Below are 21,340 nucleotides of genomic sequence, written 5' to 3' on the forward strand. Positions count from 1 at the left end.
AGAGGATTTTAGATGAAATCCTTTTGTACCACTGTCTGCAACTGTGTTGATTTCCTTCCACATTGGATGATAGCTCTGGCCAGGGCCTTTTTGTTTTGACTGTTGGAGAGGAGGTTAGCTTGTGAATAATTGGTTATTTTTTAGCATGTGTGAGGCTGATGGGCAGTAGAAAGTTCCTGAAAAGAAGTTTCTTCCTTCAAGGCAGTGTAATATAGTGACGAGAACAGGGGCTTTGAAGCTAGCAGACCCGGGTTATCATCTCAGCTCTACCACTTCCTGTGTGACTCTGGGCAAGTTACTTAAGCTCCCAGTGTCTCAGTTTTCTCTTCAGTAAAGTAGGCATAATCTTACCACTGGGGTTGTCAAGGGAATAACATGTAAACTGTTTAGTGTAGTGCTTGGTACAGAATGAGCATTTAATAAGAACAGTTACTAATATGACATTACTACTGCTGTTATTTAAATAGTTTTTAACAGTATTATCAAAACAGCAAGCACAGTTCATGGTGGTAAATGCCCTAATGGAAGTGTTCATCTGTCACCATTGAGAAGGGAACTGTTAATATCCACTGACTGTTACTGACAGCTTCATAAGGACCTTGTGAGATGAGAAGTACTTTTCCTGGTAGAGAGGGGAAAGGTTTCCTAGGAACATCAGCCATGCAGAAGATCAGGAAACTAGCAGGCTAAGGCTGCAGCACCTTATTCTCTGTGTAGTAAGGCCAGTAAGCTTTCGTTTGTTTGTTTAAACAAGGGAGCCACCTGTGCAGATCATTCCTGGTGGCAGTTTGTCACCTTGTTTGGAGGAGATGGGCCAAAGGCAGTGACCCGTGAGTATATCACTGCAAGAGCCGAGGTGTGAGATGATGGAGCCTGGCACGTAGCAGTGGGAATGGAGAGAAGGCAGGCAGACCTAGACAGGAAGCATGAAGTTGCATGAGGAGCATGGGCTTCAGAGTGGCGTGAATCTGGAAGCTGAATCCTGGTTCCCCTACTTTCCTAGCTGTATAGCCTTGTGTGAATTTATTTTTTTCTTTCTTTCTTTCTTTTTTTTTTTTTTTTGGAGACAGAGTCTCGCTCTGTTGCCCAGGCTGGAGTGCAGTGGCACGATCTCCATCTTGGCTCACTGCAACCTCCGCCTCCTGGGTTCAAACAATTCTCCTGCGTCAGCCTCCCAAATAGCTGGGATTACAGGCGTGCACCACCACACCTGGGTAATTTTTGTATTTTTAGTAGAGATGGGGTTTCACCATGTTTGTCAGGCTGGTCTCGAGCTCTTGACCTCAGGTGATCTGCCCGCCTTGGCCTCCCAAAGTGCTAGGATTACAGGCGTGAGCCACCACACCCAGCCTCCTTGTGTGAATTTCTTACTTCTTGGAACCTCAGTTTCTTCCTCTATAAAATTGGAGCTATTCCTTAGGGCTTCTGAGAGAATTGAATTCCCACCACACCCAGCCTCCTTGTGTGAATTTCTTACTTCTTGGAACCTCAGTTTCTTCCTCTATAAAATTGGAGCTATTCCTTAGGGCTTCTGAGAGAATTGAATTCACACCACACCCAGCCTCCTTGTGTGAATTTCTTACTTCTTGGAACCTCAGTTTCTTCCTCTATAAAATTGGAGCTATTCCTTAGGGCTTCTGAGAGAATTGAATTCAATTGAACAACCCTTGCTGCTGTGCCTAGTTTTGGTCTGTGTTCAGTAACTGTTAACCTTCATCTCATTCCAGAGGACTGTTTAAGGTTGAGCTTCTAGGAATTAGTGCTTTATTGCGTTGAGAGAGAGAAAAATTGAAGATGACTTTGAAATTTCTTCCTTGAATTAAGGTGATACTATTAAGCAAACTAGGAAATACAGAGAAAGGGGCAGAATTTAGGGAAAATATATGTTGAATTTTGGATTTGTTGAATTTGAGATTCTGAGGAATCTAAGTCCTGGCTTTAAAGGACACTTAAATATATGTTTAGAGGTTAGAGCTAGAAGTACAGTCCTGAGATTCATTGGCATACAGACAGAACTTGTTGTAGAAAGTGAATGATTTGGCCGGGTGTGGTGGCTCACGCCTGTAATCCCAGCACTTTAGGAGGCCAAGGCGAGCAGATTGCTTGAGGTCAGGAGTTTGAGACCAGCCTGTCTAACATGGTGAAACCCCATCTCTCCCAAAAATATAAAAAATTAGCCGGGTGCGGTGGTGCATGCCTGTAATCCCAGCTACTCAAGAGGCTGAGGCAGGAGAATCACTTGAACCCGGGAGGTGAAAGTTGAAGTGAGCCGAGATCGTGCCACTACACTCCAGCCTGGATGACAGAATGAGACTCTGTCTCAAAAAAAAAAAAAAAAAGAAAGAAAGTGAATGACTGGCCGGGCGGGGTGGCTCACATCTGTAATCCCAGCACTTTGGTACATCAAGGCAGGCGGATCACTTGAGGTCAGGAGTTTGAGACTAGCCTGACCAATGTAGCGAAACCTGTCTCTACTAAAAAATACAAAACATTAGGGCCAGGCATGGTGGCTCACGCCTGTAATCCCAGCTACTTGGGAGTCTGAGGCAGGAGAATCACGTGAACCCAGGAGGCAGAGGTTTCAGTGAGCCGAGATCATGCCACTGCACTCCAGCCTGGGCAACAGAGCAAGACTCCGTATCGAGAGAAAAAAAAAAACATTAGCCGGGCATGGTGACACACACCTGTAGTCCCAGCTACTTGGGAGGCTGAGGCAGGAGAATCGCTTGAACCTGGGAGGCCGAGGTTGCTGTGAGCTGAAATTGCACCATTGCACTCCAGCCTGGGCGACAGAGCAGGACTCCGTCTCAAAAAAAAAAAAAAAAAGAAAAAGAAAGAAAGAAAATGAATGACTGAGGAGAGGGCTGAGCATGGAAGCCTTCAAAAACCAACAGTAGAAGAAAACGCTAGCTGCATTGTAGAGGAAAAGAGGGAAAGGGAGAGATTAGAGGCCCAGGAAACAACAGGAGGCTGTGAGAGTGTTTCTACACGTGTGCCTCAAATCCTCAAATCACCTGTTTTCTTTTTATTTTATTTTATTTTTTTTTGAAATGGAGTTTTGCTCTTGTTGCCCAGGCTGGAGTGCAACTGCAACCTCCGCCTCCCAGGTTCAAGAGATTCTCGTGCCTCAGCCTCCCAAGTAGCTGGGATTACAGGTGCACTCCACTACACCCGGCTAATTTTTTTTTATTTTTAGTAGAGATGGGGGTTTCACCATATTGGCTAGGCTGGTCCTGAACTCCTAACCTCAGGCGATCCCCCGCTTTGGCCTCCCAAAGTACTAGGATTACAGGCGTGAGCCACTGAGCCTGGCCAAATCACCTGTTTTCCATTGGGCAAAATTATAAAAATTCTTTCAAACAATTAAAAGCCAAAAAATATTTAATAGGAGTTGAGGGTGCATTCAAATACATTTGAGGTGATTTTGAGGTGGGGCCTCCAAAAATAAGTGCCAGTGACCTAGGCTTCAAAATAGCACCAAACCTACAGCAGCATCACCTGAGGCACTAGGCAAACTCCAGACTCCTGGCCTCCATCACTATCCCTTCTCTTATCGAATCTTCTTTCCTCCACAGGAAGTGGGAGTGAGACCCAGGCATCCTCATTTTTTAATAAGTGCTCAAAGGCCGGGAGCAGTGGCTCACACTTGTAATCTCAGCACTTTAGGAGGCCTGGGTGGGCAGATCACATGGTCAGGAGTTCGAGACCAGCCTGGCCAACATAGTGAAACCACATCTCTCCTAAAAAACAAAAATTAGCCGGGCATGGTGGTGCACACCTGTAGTCCCAGCTACTCAGGAGGCTTAGGCAGGAGAATTGCTTGAACCAAGGAGGTGGAGGTTGCAGTGAGCCGAGACTGTGGCACTGCACTCCAGCCTCGGCAACAGAGCAAGACTCTGTCTCAGAGAAAAAAATAAATAAATATGTGCTCAAGATGGTGAATGTTGGAAAACGCTTGGTCAGGCGCTATCTGGGGATGTGATGCTGCAAGCCACACTGAGGCAGTGGGGAATTTTAGGGACAGTGATGTGTTGTCTTTTGTGATCAATGAAGCTTATCAATTATATAGAAAAATAATTATTATAATTCCCACCTCATTCCTTCTGTTTGCTTTTCAGTTTTTTTAAGACCTTGTTGTGAGTCTTTCATTCATTCAAAATTGGATTTCTGTTGCCAAAACATCTTTTTAAATGTGGAAAGCATATTCAGCCTGTTGAAAAACAACAACAAACCACCCATTAGGAATCCAGTGGCAGACTAACCTGCCCCACTGGAACTTGCTACGGACACAGTCAGTTACTCCCCTCTGGTGATTCTGCCTTTTATAGCCTGTTCTCTTTTAAGCAATCTACAATGAAATTGCATTTTAGAAAGCCACCACCGCACTCCTTTTAAACATTAAATACAATGTTTAAATGACCAGTCATTTTCTTTGATTCCTAGTGTCCATTCATCATTACTCTTCTCAAAGTTTTTTTACTGCTTAGAGTTGGTAGATATATGTACTGTCCTGGTGTTCCAACTACAGCTTTCTTTGTTTTACTGGTTCTATTTCTTTCTTTCTTTTCTTTCTTTCTTTCTTTTTTTTTTTTTTTGAGATGGAGTTTCGCTCTTGTTGCCCAGGCTGGAGTGCAATGGCACAATCTCGGTTCACTGCAACCTCTGTCTCCTGCAGTTCTCCTGCCTCAGCCTCCCAAGTAGCTGGGATTACAGGCATGTGCCACCACACCCAGCTAATTTTGTATTTTTGGTAGAGACGGGGTTTCACCATTTTGGTCAGGCTGGTCTCAAACTCCTGACCTCAGGTGATCCACCCGCCTTGGCCTCCCAAAGTGCTGGGATTACAGGCATGAGCCACCGCGCCTGGCCTACTGGTTCTATTTCTTTTTACTCCCTAACTGCGGACATTCTCTAGGACTTTGTGGGGCTTTTTCTTTCTCTGAGTAACTTCTAAGAACTGATCATTGTCACCTGTGTTAGCTGTTCTCTCAGTATCCATGTCCAGTTTTCTTGGCTTATCTTTGCCCTGCTGTTGTCCACAGCTGAAAATGTCTTTCATTATTACTCTTCTGAAACTTGCTTTGCCTCTCAAGGGTCTTCTCTTTCACTCAAGCTGCCATTCTCCTAGCCATTTGTGGCTTGACACCCCAAGAGCTTTATTCTCTCTTTTCATTGCTTGAGTCCACCAAGATACCAAGTTAGGTCACCTTTTATTTTAAATCAGCCCCAACGAGGGTCCCCTCCTTTTCACTTTTACTCCTCTGCTCTAATCCAGGTCTTCATAAATTTTTGGGCTTTTAGCTGATTTCCCTGCCTGCCTCTTTCAAAGCCCTTTACCCACTGCGGAATCATATTTACCATGCAGGACTGCCACTGGCTTCCTCCTCCAAAATTCGTTAGCCTCACATTTGAGGCTTCTCCATAGGTGTTCACCCATGTCACCTGCTCAGCTCTGTGTGTGCTGCTCCTGCACAGCACAAACCCTCCACATGAGGACAGCTGGTTTCACGTGTCCCTATTTCTGCCATGAGTATTCCTCTGCTCTTCTTGTTCCTTCTGCCCTCCACCCATCTTCCCCCACCCCTTACCCATCCTTTTCAACATCACTCAGTGCCCATCTGCTTCACGGTGTCTTTCCCAGGGCTCTGCCCCACATTCATCCCATTCTTCTTGATTTGAATACCTTTTATGTAGGAGCACTAACTTTGTATTTCATTATACAGTTTCTATCAATCCAAAGCTCCTTATCTCTAATTCTAAATCCAACAAGTTTGGAAAACTGAAAGCTTTTTAATAGTCTTGGCACAAAACTCAAGCAAAACCTCCCTGAGTAGATATGAGCTGTTTTTAAAAAATATATCCCATTTGGCCAGGTGCAGTGGCTCATGCCTGTAATCGCAGCACTTTGGGAGACCAGGGTGGAAGGATCACAAATCCAAGAGCTCGAGACCAGCCTGGGTGACATGACAAGACCTGGTTTCTACTGAAAATACAGAAAAATTAGCCAGTCACGGTAGCCCATGCCTGTAGTCTCAGCCACTCGGGAGGCTGAGGTGGGAGGATTGTTTGAGCTTGGGAGGCTGAGGTTGCAGTGAGCTGAGATTGTGCCACTGTACTGTAGCCTGGGCAGCAGAGCGTGACCCTGTAAATGTATCCCATTTACAGTGACTGTTCATATGTTCTGCTGCAGAAATACTTGTATGTCTGGTTGTGGGGTAATTGGACAGAATGGAAAGTGAAGGGACCTTATCAATTTGCTTTTTGGAGCTGCCAGATTTCTTTAGTATTGTCCTTCTCAAACTGGGGTATGTTACCCCGGAGAGTATGGAGGGATTATAGAAAGTTACAGTATACGTATGCATGATTGCCAGGAAGGTCAAATTTATTAGATGATTCGAAGGGGGAAATGAAATAATAAAATATATATCATGGCACAAAATACAAAATTTCCATGCATTGAAAAGATAAAATATGAGATTTCAAAGAAATTTAGGCACTGTGGGAGGTGGGGAGAAGCATATCCTCATTATCTGCTTCAGCTAGAGGTGTTAAAGCACTGCTCTCAGACAGAATTCTGACAGTTTGGGTTGTTGCATTTCTGAGTGGCTGGATTTAGGATTTTGTACTTGCAGAGTTCTCCAGGACCACACAAGATGGCAAAAATTTCTGAGACAGTGTCTGTGTCGAAGAAGGAATAACAGTAGTGCATCAGTCAGACTGACTCAAGGAAGGAAGAAGCATAAACATTAAGGCCGCAAAGGTTACTTAGAAAAATCACTGTGTCATCGGTGAAACCCTGTCTCTACCAAAAATACAAAAAATTAGCTGGGCGTGGTGGCATGCGCCTGTAGTCCCAGCTACTTGGGAGGCTGAGGCAGGAGAATTGCTTGAACCCGGGAGGCGGAGGTTGTAGTGAGCCGAGATTGCACCACTGCACTCCAGTGCAACAGAGTGAGACTCCATCTCAATTAAAAAAAAAAAAAATCACTGTGTCATGAGGAGAATCAGCTTGACAACACAGGCCAATTAGGATGGTTTTCAAAGTTGTGTCTTAAGTGAAATAAGCCAGTCACAAAAACACAAATACTGTATGATGCCATTTACATGAAGTAGTCAAACCTGTATAGACAGAAAGTAGAATGGTGGGTGCAAGGTCCTGGGGGTAAGGAAATGGGGAGTTATTGTTTAAAGAGTATAGAGTTCCAGTTTTGCAAGATGAAAAAGTTCTGGAGATCTGTTTCACAACGTTGTGATTATACTTAATATCACCTAACTGTTTACCTCAAAATAATCAAGATGGTAAAGTATATGTTATGTGTTTCTTACCACAATCCAAAAAGAAGTTGTGTTTCAAGGTAGCCTGTAAACATCTCATTACTTTTTGTTTGTTTGAATTAAACTTTATTACAAATGTTCTTTCTCACCAGGTTTTGCATGGATATGTTATTTTGCTGTGTTCTGTTTTGTTTTTTAATAGGCAAGAAATAATGGCGGCAGCTACGGGGGATCCTGGACTCTCTAAACTGCAGTTTGCCCCTTTTAGTAGTGCCTTGGATGTTGGGTTTTGGCATGAGTTGACCCAGAAGAAGCTGAACGAGTATCGGCTGGATGAAGCTCCCAAGGACATTAAGGGTTATTACTACAATGGTAGGTGATTGTAAATTTCATTTTCCATCATCTTCTGTTATCCTCACGGTCCTCCAGTATAGTGTCAGCTTTCCTTTAGAAAGAGACAGCCTTGTCTTTTATAATCAGTGCTCTTCACTAGTTTCTATTTTACTTCCTGACTTTTTGATCCCAGTTCATTTTCATTTATTTTCTCTTGTTGTGGGGAAAAAGAAAGAGAGTAGTGAAACTCAAATTATTAATCCAAATAATACCCATTACTTAGCATTGCTGTGGGAAGAGATTGGAAATATTTTTTCCATTGAATCTTTTTTATATTCTTGGCGAATGTCTCATATTCACAAGAGCTCTGTCACATTCTGCCATTTATCTATCCATACATATATTATCTATGTAGCATAGATAATCAGAAATTGGATGGGGCGCCTTGGGCTCAACAAAGAGAAGAAAACTATTCATAAGCATTTTTGTTATGAACGCTGCTATTTCTGACTTGTCATTGAAAATGTGATAATGCTTCTGTCCAGGTGACTCTGCTGGGCTGCCAGCTCGCTTAACATTGGAGTTCAGTGCTTTTGACATGTGAGTATTTATTTGTTCAAAATCTGAAGTAAAGAATACTACTTTTGGCAAGGAATAAGCATGCTTGCCTCCCTCATAGGTGGACCACAGGAGGACTAGGGAAGTTCCCGGTGGGCAGAGTCAGCCCCCCTCATGATTCTCTTATACCTCCCATAGAGATGAGTGCTGGATACTTAGGTCTGCCTGGTTAATTTTTCACCACCTATTTATCAGAGTCAATTAGGTGCCAGGTGCCATCTAGATTGATTGAGACATAGATAATATCCCTCTTGATTTTGATTGTAGTTAATATTTTGTGTTCTTTTCTTGATACCTCTCTTGATTCACTCCTTTAGTCCATGGGCATTGTCCATGGGCATTGATCAATGAATGTTTATTAGTCTACTTCTGTATACAAGCCACTGTGCAAGGCATTATAGTGCTATATAAAGGAATATGATAGATATATCCTTGAAGAATTTTTTTAAATCTGCTTGGGAGCTGTGGGGAGTTGCTGGAGAGAAGAGACACACTTTTTTTTTTTTTTGAGACAGGATCTCACTCTGTCACCCAGGCTGGAGTGTAGTAGTACAATCTCAGCCCACTGCAACCTCTTCCTCCTGAGTTCAAGCTTTTCTCGTGCCTTAGCCTCCCAAGTAGCTGGGACTACAAGCTCACGCCATCATGCCTGGCTAATTTTTGTATTTTTTTGGTAGAGACAGTGTTTCACCATATTTGCCAGGCAGATCTTGAACTCCTGACTTCAAGTGATTCGCCTGCCTTGGCCTCCCAAAGTGCTGCTGGGATTACACGATCGAGCCACCACACCCAGCCAAGAGACACATTTATTGAGCACTTAATTAGGCATTTTCATAAACATCTGTTCTTTGAGACTCGCCAGGTGTGATTTTTCTCTCTTTTTTCAGATGAGGAAAGCATGGGATGAAAGGTAAAAATGGCTTGCCCAGGGTCACACCTGGCCAAATTTAGAAAGCAGGGGTGAGAGAAAAAAATGTATTTATAAATGTATTTCTGAAACACAGTATGAGTAGCTACAGGGATTTTGCTATCTTCTACAGAAATAGAGAAACCAGGAGGGGGATACAAATTTAGGAGGAGACAAGTTTGGTTTAGAATATGTTGAGTTTGAGATGACAGTGTCTGCTAGAAATGTCCAGGAGGAACTGGAGACGGGGAGAAAGGATCAGACTAGATTTGGGAGACATCCAGGTAGAGGAGAAAGAGAATAAAGATAGTCTCCAACTTATGGTGGTTTAATGACTTTTTGACTTTACGATGGTGAGAAAGCGATACACATTCAGTGGAAATTATACTTTGTGGACCCATACAGCCATTCGGTTTTTCACTTTCAGTACAGTATTCAATAAATTACCTGAGATATTCAACACTTTATTATGGAACAGGCTTTGTGTTAAGATGATTTTGCCCAACTCTAGGCTAATGTAAGTGTTCTGGGCACGTTTAAGGGAGGCTAGACTAAGCTATGTCTGGCAGGTTAGACGTATTAAATAGAGTTTTGATTTATGATATTTTTTTCAATTTATGATGAGTTTATCAGGACATGGTAAGTTGAGGAGCATCTGTATAGTATAAGAACAAAAGGCGCAAACAGTGAATGGCTCTAATTAGGGAGGTGAAAGATGATACAGAACTAGCGAAGGACACAGGGGTTGTCAGAGGAAAACCAGAAAAGTGTTAGAGAAACCAAAGAAGGCAATGCTTTCTGGAGGGAAAGAGAAACTAACAGTGTCAGAAGCACAGAGGTCAATGCGAGGGCCACTGTGTTTGTTGATTAAGTCATTGTGGTCCTTAAGAATTCAGTTTGAGAAAGAGGGTGGAGCTGAAACCAAGATGAGGGCCTTTAAGATTATTGAGAATTGAAAAAGGCTACAGTGTTTTTTCTGCTTTATTGTACCTCAGCAGTATCAAGATGGGGAATTTTAGGAAGGTGAAGAAGTCTTATAGGTCTTTCTGGCTTTTGAAAGTGGCAATGGTCAACTATTAGGATATTTAAAATAAAGTGTCCCTAGAATTTTTTTTAATCTCAGAAAATCAATACTTTTTTTCCCTTTATCTCAATCCAGTTGCAAAATTTGAAAGCACGATGTACATCCACAATGATTTTAGTATTTGTATCTTTAAAAATGTATGTGTTGGTGTTTCTTGTTCCCTTTGGAGCTTTCTTGCTCCATCGTAAACTGCTTGTGGTTACCTGTCAAAAGAAATAAAATCCTAATAATCTCTCTCTTGTTTTGGCAAACTAACTTATTTTGGAGCCAGTAAGATATGACGAGGAAACTACTGGAAATGTACAAGCATTAAATTGTCTGAAGATGGTACGGGGGAGCATCAACAGTCTGTTTTGTGTAATCTGGAGAGCCTCATATTTATCTCAGACTAACCTCACTCCTATCCTTATCCTTCTACTGGACTGTTTGTTTTATAAGGTTTTAATAATTTTATTCTTTAGAATAATTAATTAGAAAAATGCAGTTCACAGAAGTTAGGTTTGAACTTACTACAAAATGTGAGCATCTTAAACTTAATTAATCTAAAAATTTTGGTTGAAGGAGATAAGAAAATCTGTGATCCTGCAGCTATGACTTTCACACAAATTGCTCATTTTCACTCATCATATTTTTTCTTTAACCGTTGAATACCCTCAGTGTGCAAGGCACTGTGGTAGACAGTGGGATGTGAACAGAAATAAGATGTGGTCCCCATTGTGTGAAAATAGCCCTGGATTCGAAGTTTGAAGATTTGGAATCTATGGCTAATTAACTGTGCTACTTCAATAAGCTCTTTTAGTTTTCTCAGCTTTTGTTTCCTCATCTTTAAAATGGGTTCTTGCTTTCTAATGTTCTTTCCAGTTTTAAAAGTCTGTCACTTTCTGAGTCCCTATTAGGATGGCTGAGAAGTTTAATGAAAGTGCTTGGGACTTCTCAGAAGGCCTGATTTCTTTATTCCAAATTATTTCCTTTATTATTACCCCATTTTTGTTTTGATTGCTGTATATCTGCATGGGTTGGTAGAGAAAGTCTTTATGAATTTATTTATCAAAGAAGGAATATCTACAATGTGCAGATGTGTGTGTGTTAGGAATACAAAGACTTATGAAATATGTTCTCCAGAGCTCCTCTACTGTATGAGAGAGAGAAGTAGAAGGCAAATATTTGCATTATAGTGTGCTCAGTGCTGTAATAAGCATGGAGAGGTAATCATTATTTCAGGAAAACTTATTGATTGCTTCCTCTGTGTCTTGATAACAGAATGTGCTAGGTGCTGGGCATACAGACAGGAATGACATACAGTTGAATAGCTAACAATCCCAGTACTCACTTATAGATGTCAAGAGTATCTCAGCTTTGCATAGCACTGGATAAGTCTCTTCTACTCTGTGCCCCTGATAGTCTTATGGATCTCTAAGGATCCTGTTCTCTGAATTGTATTAGATGAATTGTCAGTCAAGTAGTATTTTATCAGGCACCAACTGTCTTAAACTGGAATATGCTGTCTTGAGTTAGGGTATCCTGCTGGATCAGACCCAAAAATGTAAGGGCCCAAACACTAAGAAGTTCATTTCTTGCTCATCAAATAGCCCAGGGCTGCTGGTCCAGTCTTCTTCCATGTTGTGGCTCCATTATCCCTGAGGACTTTGCATTGTGTGCTGATTAAGACAGTTGTCACTTTCAGGTAACAACAGATTAATGAGGAAAGACAGCCAAGGTGCAAACAGGTGGAAGAGACACACTTAGTCTCTTAAAGGCCCTGGAGGGAAGGGACATTTATCACTCCACTCAGATTCTACTGAGGAGAACTCGTGGCCTCACTTGTCTTGCAAAGAAGACTGGGAAGCGTGGAACCCAGCTAAAACGTTATGTGTGCTTTCTGTTTCTGTTGACAAGGAGGAAAATAGATTTTGATTGACAATCTCTATACCTATGTGAAGCTGAGAAAAAAAAAGAATTTTCCGCCAGGCGCGGTGGCTCACGCCTGTAATCCCAGCACTTTGGGAGGCCGAGGCAGGCGGATCACGAGGTCAGGAGATCAAGACCATCCTGGCTAACATGGTGAAACCCCGTCTCTACTAAAAACACAAAAAATTAGCCGGGCGTGGTGCCGGCGCCTGTAGTCCCAGCTGCTTGAGAGGCTGAGGCAGGAGAATGGTGTGAACCCGGGAGGCGGAGCTTGCAGTGAGCCGAGATCCTGCCACTGCACTCCGGCCTGGGCGACAGAGCGAGACTCCGTCTCTAAAAAAAAAAAAAGAATTTTCCTTTCTCTGGGCCTCAAATGATCAACATTTGAATGAAGAACATTTCTGTGGGTTTCTTTCCCTTGAGGAATATTTGTCTTTATTCATAAGAAATTTTCTTTTCGGCCGGGCGCGGTGGCTCACGCCTGTAATCCCAGCACTTTGGGAGGCCGAGGCGGGTGGGTCACGAGGTCAGGGATCGAGACCATCCTGGTTAACACGGTGAAACCCCGTCTCTACTAAAAATGCAAAAAAAAAAAAAAAAAAAAAAAATTAGCCGGGCGTGGTGGCGGGCGCCTGTAGTCCCAGCTACTCGGGAGGCTGAGGCAGGAGAAAGGCGTGAACCTGGGAGGCGGAGCTTGCAGTGAGCCGAGATCGCACGACTGCACTCCAGCCTGGGTGACAGAGTGAGACTCCGTCTCAAAAAGAAAAAAATGTTTTTCTTTTCTATGCCTCAAGTTGGACCTAATTAGAGAAATAGAAGGCATAATTCTTGCCCTCAAAGAACTGAAAAGGTAGTGAAGGAAGTAGGAGTCTTAGGCACACTCGTGTGTGGGGCAGAGGCTGTGTCTTTCTTATTCTCTGCTGTATCACCAGCACCCAACACAGATCTGGGGTGTACTATTTGCTCAATAACTGCCTAATTGAATTACAAGCGGTCTAAGCGCATGGCTGTCAAAATCACATGTGGTGTGGTTGATGGAAAGACACCAGTGGACTGTGTTAGAGGATGTTACAAACAGAAACTCTGCGATTGCTAGGGAAGTCAGGAGATGACAAAGAAGCATGACCCCCAACATGACCCCCAACTGACTGTGACTTTCTGGGTTCCCAGCGTTCCCTGTGGGCATGTGAAGCTGTGTGCGAAGTAGATTCCTCCAGGTATGATGAGCACAGGTGCTCTTCCAGAGGATTTATTCCGTTCTGACCACCTGCCTGCCTGTTGGCCAAGTGTAAATAACTGGTGCAACACAGCCCCAGCACTTTCCTGAGTCATCGCTGTGAGACTGAATGAAGTGAAGGCCAAGTGTCTAGCTGTAATGTCCCCAAAGCAGGCCCAGTCTTCCGGCCTTTGTGAGATCCATTTTTACTAGGTTAGTATACGCATTATCGCAAGTTCACTATTGGCCTTAGTATGTGGAGAAAATTTCTAATTTGAATTCTTTTTAGGAGCTATGTTGAGATATAATTCATATACCATAAAATTCACCCCTTAGTTTAAAGGGGTACGATTCAGTGGTTTTTAGTAGATTCATAGAGTTGTGCTGCCATTACTATTAATTCCAGAACATTTCCATCTCCCAAAAAAGACACCCTTAGCAATTACTCTCCATCCCCCCTCCTCCATACTCACCAGCCCTAGCCAACCATAACTCTACTTTCTGTCTCTGAGGATTTGCCTATTCTGCATATTTCATGTAAGTGGAACCATAGGAAACTAAACTAGGAAGTGTCAGAACCAAGATTTGAACTAAATTCTCTTGTCTCCAAGTCTCAGGCTCCTTCCCTCTCATTATCACTTTTTAAATTCATTTTCCTGCCACCTCCCATGGTGGAACTTTAGTCATGAAAGATGCTTCTCCTTTGAAGCTTCCGATTGTCCTGGCTAATTAACTTGCATAAGTGCTGATGCTCCTAGGAGCCTAGCCATCTTGCAGTTGCTTGAGTTCTTGGTATGCAGTTTTCTCCTTTCACAAAATGAGGCTTTGGTATGGCTCTCACACACCTGGGAAGTTTGGGAAGAAGGGTACCTTCCTCTTCTGTGCTTGTGTCCAAATTAGATCATGGCATTCTTCCTTCTGTTTCCACATCCTGTTTCAGCAGTAATTTCATAAAGCCAAGTCTGAATGTAGAAGGCCTAGTTTACCAACTGCTCTGCTTTCTTTGCCTTCCCTCTGGGCTTAATCTTTTCCCTTTGTGATTTCTCTCTCTTCAAGACCAGCTTGGATGTCCTCATCTCACCTGGATGAAAAATATTCTTTTATTGGAGGAGCATGGTGACAAACAACTTGTGATTTGCTGACTCATACCTCCCAAGAGAAGGTTCTGGCCATTGAAAGCTAGCTCTCCCTGAGGACTTGGCATTTGAGCCTGACAGACGGCATTTGACAGAGCCATGTCATTCATTGCACCCCTTCATACCTGTTCTAGGTTTAGATTTCTACTCTTTCAGCCCCATAAACCCAATTTTACATGGACTTTAAATGAAAAGACATAGGTTCTTCTAAACTATGCAGCTGTCATCAGTGCAGTCAGTGAAAAGGCATTCTGTCTGCATTAGCTGCGACAACATTAGTAGGCTACTAATGAAATGAATATTTTCATTTAACATCTGTAAACTCTGAAATGCAAGTTAATCATTTCAGAGAAGAGACCAGATTTGTCCACATCTGAATTCGTATTCAGAATCAACTCCTCTTCTCTTCTCCTGACTTTGCTTACTCTGAGGACTGTGAGGCCTTTGGGGGCAATGTAGAGTGTGTAAACCTGGTGGCACGACAGATTGACAGGTAGCCCAGGTGTGAGACATTTTGTCTGCAGACAACCGTCAGGGGCTTGCCCAGCAGCAGTTTTGTGCAGAGCCCTGTTTGGGGTGGGCTAGGTTGTGGGGCAGTCAGGAGAACACATACTTTCTATCCTCAAGGAGCTTAGTGTCCTCCAGCTGGGTGGGTATGACTGTAGTTCTTGAAAATGCTAGAAAATATTATGCTGAGTTTTATGTGCCAACTCTTAGCAGAGAAAGTGGAGATAGCTTTCCGGAAGAGGAGAGATTGATTAGAGCAGGACCTTGAAGCCTGGGAGGGTCTGAGAGGTGGCGTAGGCACAGCACAGTACCTTGGACTCAGCTAGTTCTGGTTTTAGATTCAAGCTCTGCCTATTATTATGTGACCTTAGGCAAGTTGCTTAAACCTTTAAATGGGGGAAAAGAGCTGTTATGAGAATTCAAACTGTGCACAGCTCAACAAACAATATTTCCCTCAGGTTAAAGGTGGGAAAGAAGAACAAATAGGAAATGAACTTCTCTTTGGGGGACAGTAGAACAGCATCCTGATAGGTTAGAGTATAGGGAATATATAGGCTTTTAGGGGGGAATGGTGCCTGTTTTTTAGTTCTTGAGTTATGATATTCATCTTTTTCCAAGAAAACATACAGTTAATCTTCTGTTTGCCCTGCAGAGCAATACCCTTTTTATCCCACTACAGTGGTGGTTGACTTGTCTCTCCCTGGCTGAGTCCCAGCTGTGCCTGACTAACCGTGTTTCTCTTGTATCTAGGAGTGCTCCCACCCCAGCCCGTTGCTGCCCAGCTATTGGAACACTGTATAACACCAACACACTCGAGTCTTTCAAGACTGCAGATAAGAAGCTCCTTTTGGAACAAGCAGCAAATGAGGTTAGCTGTGAAAACGTGATGTATGTGTCATATTTCCTGTGGTCCTGGCAGGTGCAGTGTTTGTGATCAGGCACATGGGTCTGCTGCAGAAACTGGCATATGAAGGGAACTTAAAGACACTTGTGGGCTTTGGTATATTTCTCCAGAGAGAATACTCCCAGCTGTCTCCTTCTGTATTGGCAGGAAGGTCAGGGAGAGGACATCCAGGCTCTCACCTGGGATAGGCTGGAAATAACATGGCAGGGCAGAGGTTAAGTAATCAGTTTGCTGCTCATCTCCAGCCAGCATTTTGAAGCAGCCAGACCTCTGAGAGTTGTGTTCCTGTGGCTGAATGCCTCTAGGCACTCTGTTTATTGTGCCTTGGAGAGGCTTGGCAATCCTGTGCACCATGGCGGTAGAGGAGATTATCATGTAGTCTCTGCAGTGTCTTCACTTATCTACTGCATCTGATTTTCAAGGCCTCTGTGGCCTGGCCCTGTTTTCCTCTTTTCCTTTCTGACCTCTTTACTCTTGCCCTTGCATTCTCTGAGTCTGTCATAGCAAATCACATGTAATTCCTTCTACCTACTTTCTGTTCTGTCCTCTCTCCTTGGGAATACAATATCCTCTCTGCCTGGAATGTCTTTCCTTTGCTTCTTTACATTGGAGTTAGTGAGAGGAATTAAAATGGGAGGTGGGGGCAGTTTATCCCAATCCTGTCTAACCGCTGTAATCAAGGAGTCTTTATACCAGTCTTTATCACGACATGAATCTTGTTGGTGTGGGTGCAGTGGTCAGGTCCTGAGGCAGGCTTCCTTCACATCCCTCGGGATGGACGCAGCTGTGACTCAGGAGAGGATGGTCGTTTTTCTTGACCTGTGGCTTGACTGCTCCTGGGCCTCCTGCTTTGGCTGCACATTTAAAAGGGAGTCTCCAAAGAATTGGGTCAGGCCTTAATCATCTTGGAAAAAAGCAGGCTCTGCCCCCACAGGAATATCCCACCCCTCAACTGGGGCCCAGAATTCTCCTAGCAGCTTCTGCCCCATGCCCCCTCGGCTTACCGGAAACTGGGGGCCTCTCTTCAGTGGTCCAGCTTCTCCAAGGCCAGTATGTCAGTAGCAGGAACTTACTTCTGCTTACTTATTTCCCTCTTCCACCCACACTTAGGGAATGATTCTTATTAGTGCAACTGTTTTGTCTTGCTTAGTAACACCAAGTTTAGCTACGAATCTTATCTACAAAAACATCTTGTGATCCACAGCTGCTGACCAGCACCAGCATTTGCTCCTAGTCTCAGTACTTGCTGAGTATACATAAATTTGAAGTTTGTTCTTCTTTCTTCATCTCTCAGGGCAAGATAATCTCAAATAAGACTTCAAGAAACCCCTATGTGTATTTCACAGCATTTCCTTTGAGAGCCCCTCCCAGGCTCTTTACTCTCCCCGTTCCCCAGCAGAGTCTGCAGAGGATTCCTCCCATAAATTCTACCTACTTCTGTGACAGCAAATCCTACATGGTGGTGAAGTTATACATTTACGCCAGTCTCTCTATCTAGACTGCGAGTGTCTTGAGGGTAGGGACTGACTGTGTCTTTTATTTCTGTAACCCTGATGTGCCTGGTATATAGTAGACAATAAGTAAATATTTGCTGAAGGAGATTGTGAAGGCATGAAAATGGCCTGGTTGCCCCCTCGGTGCTGAGATCTGCTGAGAGGAGGCGCCTGGGTTCCCTCACTTGGCTTAGATGTTGAAGGGAGTGTGGCTGGGAGAGAGGCAGTGTGAAGTCGGCAGAGTGAGGTAACAACCCACTTCATTGTTTGGGGTAAGTGGTGCTGGGCCTGTAGGAAAGAAGAGCCTGGTGCTTTTCAGCTCCACACTTCACCTGAGAGTGAGAAACTCAGAGATGCCTGGTAACCTGCCTTGATGCTTTTCTTCTTCTTGCAGATATGGGAATCCATAAAATCAGGCACTGCTCTTGAAAACCCTGTACTCCTCAACAAGTTCCTCCTCTTGACATTTGCAGTAAGTAAATGGGCTCTCGGTTGCACCGAGGTTGGTGAAATCCCCTGGCTTAGCCCAGTGTACCAGTAGAACAGTCTGCTCTTCTCTCCGAAGCTACTACCTTCTGTTACTTAAATAATAGCTGTTAACGAAACGCTCATTTGATTAGTGGCCAGATAGTGCTGGCACCTATTACCAATGCTAACTTAATTCACCCCTATGGATCATACTGGCAGTAATTGCATAGTTTATATAACACAGGGCATGATAAAGTCAGGTTCAGGGAATGTGGTTTCATTGTTGCTAACGCCTTTGTTAAATACCATCCTAAATACCATCTAAATAAAGGAAAGGTGCTTCTGGATTAGAGGAGATCACACTGCATAGCTTGACCACAAAATCGCTTGTTGATTTTTTTTTTTTGTTTTTTTAAAGACAGAAACATGTTTTCTGTAAGCGAAATCTAATTAAAATGAACGTTAAGGGCAGCCTTGAAAAGGAAATCGTATTAGGGTAACATGTGCTGCCCAGTGAAGAAGGGGTAGGATGTAGATGGAAGGACCTGGCCTTGGTGAGGGAAAAGTAGGGAAAAGGTAAGGGTCGATTATAGAGATACCAGCTATGCATGCATGCGCGTGTGTGCGTACACACACACACAGATACCAGTTATACACAGGCACGTGCACACACACAGCAACACACAGATGTGTGTATATATATCTGTGTATATAAAACTAATTTATATCCTTTATTATTATATTGACTATATAACATTCTGTCAAATGTATGTTTCATAGATTCCTGTTATATATTTAGGTGGTTTCTAATATTCACTGTTATAAAAAATGCTAGTCTGGGCACAGTGGCTCATGCTTGTAATACCAGCACTTTGGGAGGCTGAGGCAGGTGGATCACTTGAGGCCAAGAGTTTGAGACCAGCCTGGGCAACACCTTGTCACTTCAAAAAATATAAAAATTAGCTGGGTGTGGTGGCGCCTGCCTGTGGTTCCAGCTACTGGGGAGCTGAGGTGGGAGGATCATCTGAGCCTGGGAGATTGAGGCTGCAGCATGCCATGATTGCACCACTGCACTCCAGCCTGGACAACAGAGTGAGACCCTGTCTCAAAAAAAAAAAAATACTGTGGTATATTGAAAAATATATAATATTAGCCATATTGATCTTTTCTCCTGCTCATTTTACTTCTTTAGAATAAGTTCTTTGGAGCGGGCATATAAACACAGTAATGTTGCTGTGTATTAAGTGTGCTGTTTCACCACAGCATCATCAGCTTTGGACATTAATCCTCTTTCCCACTTCTTTTTTTGGCAAGTTTTCCTTCCCCGACCTCCCACCGTTCCTCCTAGATTCCTAGATGCAGGGGAGGCCTCTGATTTATTGCCCAAGGCAAAGGAGGGTATGATAGCAATCAAACAAGGCCAGTGGGTGGCTATCTACAAGGAACACATTTTCTAACAAGTTATAATGCTTTCTATGTAATAGTGGAGGAGAGAGAAAAATGTTTAAATTTTTTGTCTGATTACTTGGCTCAGTTTGGCATTAATAATCTGTCTATACGTTTGGGTAATTCTGTAGTTTTTTTTTTTTTTTTGAGACGGAGTCTCGCTCTGTCACCCAGGCTGGAGTGCAATGGTGCGATGTCGGCTCACTGCAAGCTCTGCCTCCCAGGTTCATGCCATTCTCCTGCCTCAGCCTCCTGAGTAGCCGGGACTACAGGCACCCACCACCACACCCGGCTAATTTTTTGTATTTTTAGTAGAGAGGGGGTTTCACCGTGTTAGCCAGGATGGTCTTGATCTCCTGACCTCGTGATCCGCCCGCCTCGGCCTCCCAAAGTGCTGGGATTACAGGCATGAGCCACCGCATGCAGCCTGTAGGCTCTTTACTGGGATAAATTGTAAGCATTGCTAGTTAAAGATTTCTAGTTACTTGAACGTCAGTACGCTTTCTGTACCAAGAATTCTCATAGTAGAACATGCTGACAGTTTGCATTTAATGAGAAAAATAACATTAGCTCTTACTTAAAGTTTTAAGGTTTGCCTAGAGTCAGTATGTGTGTTGGTCTTGCTGCCTTGTTTACTGAGCATTCTTAGCCTGACTTAAAAAAAATTGTAAGTATCTACTTTTTAAAATCTTCAGACACCAAGGACTTTATGTTTAATTTAATGGAGGTCATTTCTATCCTGAAAAGAATCCTAAGAAATGCAAGCTTTTTGACTTTTGAAAATGACCTGATAAAGTTTCTTAGAATTCGTGAGGTCCGGCCGGGTGCAGTGGTTCATGCCTGTAATTCTAGCGATTTGGGAGGCCGAGGTAGGCGGATTGCCTGAGCTCAGGAGTTTGAGACCAGCTTGGGCAACATAGTTAAACCCCGTATCTACTAAAATTAAAAAAAAAAATTAGCTGTGCATGGCAGCCTGTAGTCCCAACTACTCGGGAGGCTGAGGCAGAAGAATTGCTTGAACCTGGGAGGTGGAGGTTGCAGTGAGCTGAGATCGTCGTGCCGTTGCACTCCAGCCTGTGTGACAGAGCAAGACTGTCTCCAAAAAAAAAAAAAAAAAGATTTTGTGAGTTTCTTCATCTTGAATTGTTTAACCTTTTACTAAATATCGGTTATGACAAATCATTTAAGTACAAAGAAGAGAAAATAATCTCTGGAGGTGTTTTTGCTTTCCTTCTGCTGTTTTTTAGGACTCATAGGACTAGACAGTTCATTAATTTCAGCTTTGCAGTTCATTTTGCCATTGTGAAGAGGGAATTTTTTCTTAGTTGATCAATGAATAGCAGAATTAGAGACCGCAGAGATTACAATTATTAGACTTTCTCATCTGTACACATGATTACATATACATTTACATTTTAAAACTCATCTAGTATGATTTCATTTATATGAAAAGTCCAGACTAGGAAAATCCACAGAGACAGAAAATAGATTAGTGGTTGCCAGGGGATGAGAAGAGGGGGAATGGGGAGTCTCTGCTAATATGTATGAGATTTCTTTTTGGAGTGATGAAAATATTCTGGAATTAATAGTGATGATGGTACAACCATATCACTATACTAAAAAGAAACCACTAAATTGTATACTTTTTAACATGGTGAATTTTATGGAACGTAAATTATATCTCAATAAAAAGTCATCTAACAACCATCCAATTTTAATTCTTAGCAAGATTCAAGAAGAAATATTAATTAGCTACATAAACTGCATTCATATTCAGTGGTCACAGGCTTGTAGGCAAGCTGCCAAATACCCACATATGTCTGGAATGCTACCATGAATTTAATTAAGGCCCCAAAAGCTGTAAGAATTCTGAAGCAAGAGCCATTAGCGTGAGTGGGAACAGTGTCAAAGACAGCCTCACAAATCCTTTCCCCTGGATCTCCTACCCTGGTGGGGGATCGGTCAGATATACCCGTGAAGATGTAACCTCTTCTATTCACCCATCCAGCTTACTACTTAGAGCCTCTCCATGGCTCTAATCATGC

At 43.0% G+C, this 21,340-nt stretch overlaps 1 protein-coding gene across 37 annotated transcripts in view, besides 1 other annotated feature; it reads left to right on the plus strand.

Annotated features, from left to right (window-relative positions):
* The window catches only part of ATG7 (autophagy related 7), a 303,957-nt gene that overhangs the window by 18,812 nt on the left and 263,805 nt on the right, over positions 1–21,340 (plus strand). For 35 of the 37 annotated variants that reach the window (XR_007095622.1, XR_007095623.1, NM_001349238.2 and 32 more), the window contains 4 exons: positions 7,478–7,647; positions 8,154–8,208; positions 15,735–15,852; positions 17,776–17,853. Coding sequence is in view for 32 of the 37 variants with exons in the window: in NM_001349232.2 (NP_001336161.1) it covers positions 7,488–7,647; positions 8,154–8,208; positions 15,735–15,852; positions 17,776–17,853 (411 nt within the window). In the remaining 5 variants the exon portion in view is untranslated. Of the gene's footprint in view, positions 1–7,477; positions 7,648–8,153; positions 8,209–13,290; positions 13,555–15,734; positions 15,853–17,775; positions 17,854–21,340 lie in introns of those variants that run through there. The other 2 variants (XM_047447307.1, XM_047447308.1) reach the window with 2 other exon arrangements.
* Positions 74–203: an enhancer, noted in NCBI's record as "active region_19429". NCBI's record gives its function as "activates an Ori minimal core promoter by ATAC-STARR-seq in GM12878 lymphoblastoid cells {active_cell/tissue: GM12878}" and the evidence as "EXISTENCE:reporter gene assay evidence [ECO:0000049][PMID:35858748]".

This window comes from Homo sapiens, chromosome 3, assembly GCF_000001405.40.
Source record: "Homo sapiens chromosome 3, GRCh38.p14 Primary Assembly".
Classification (NCBI taxonomy): Eukaryota; Metazoa; Chordata; class Mammalia; order Primates; family Hominidae; genus Homo; species Homo sapiens.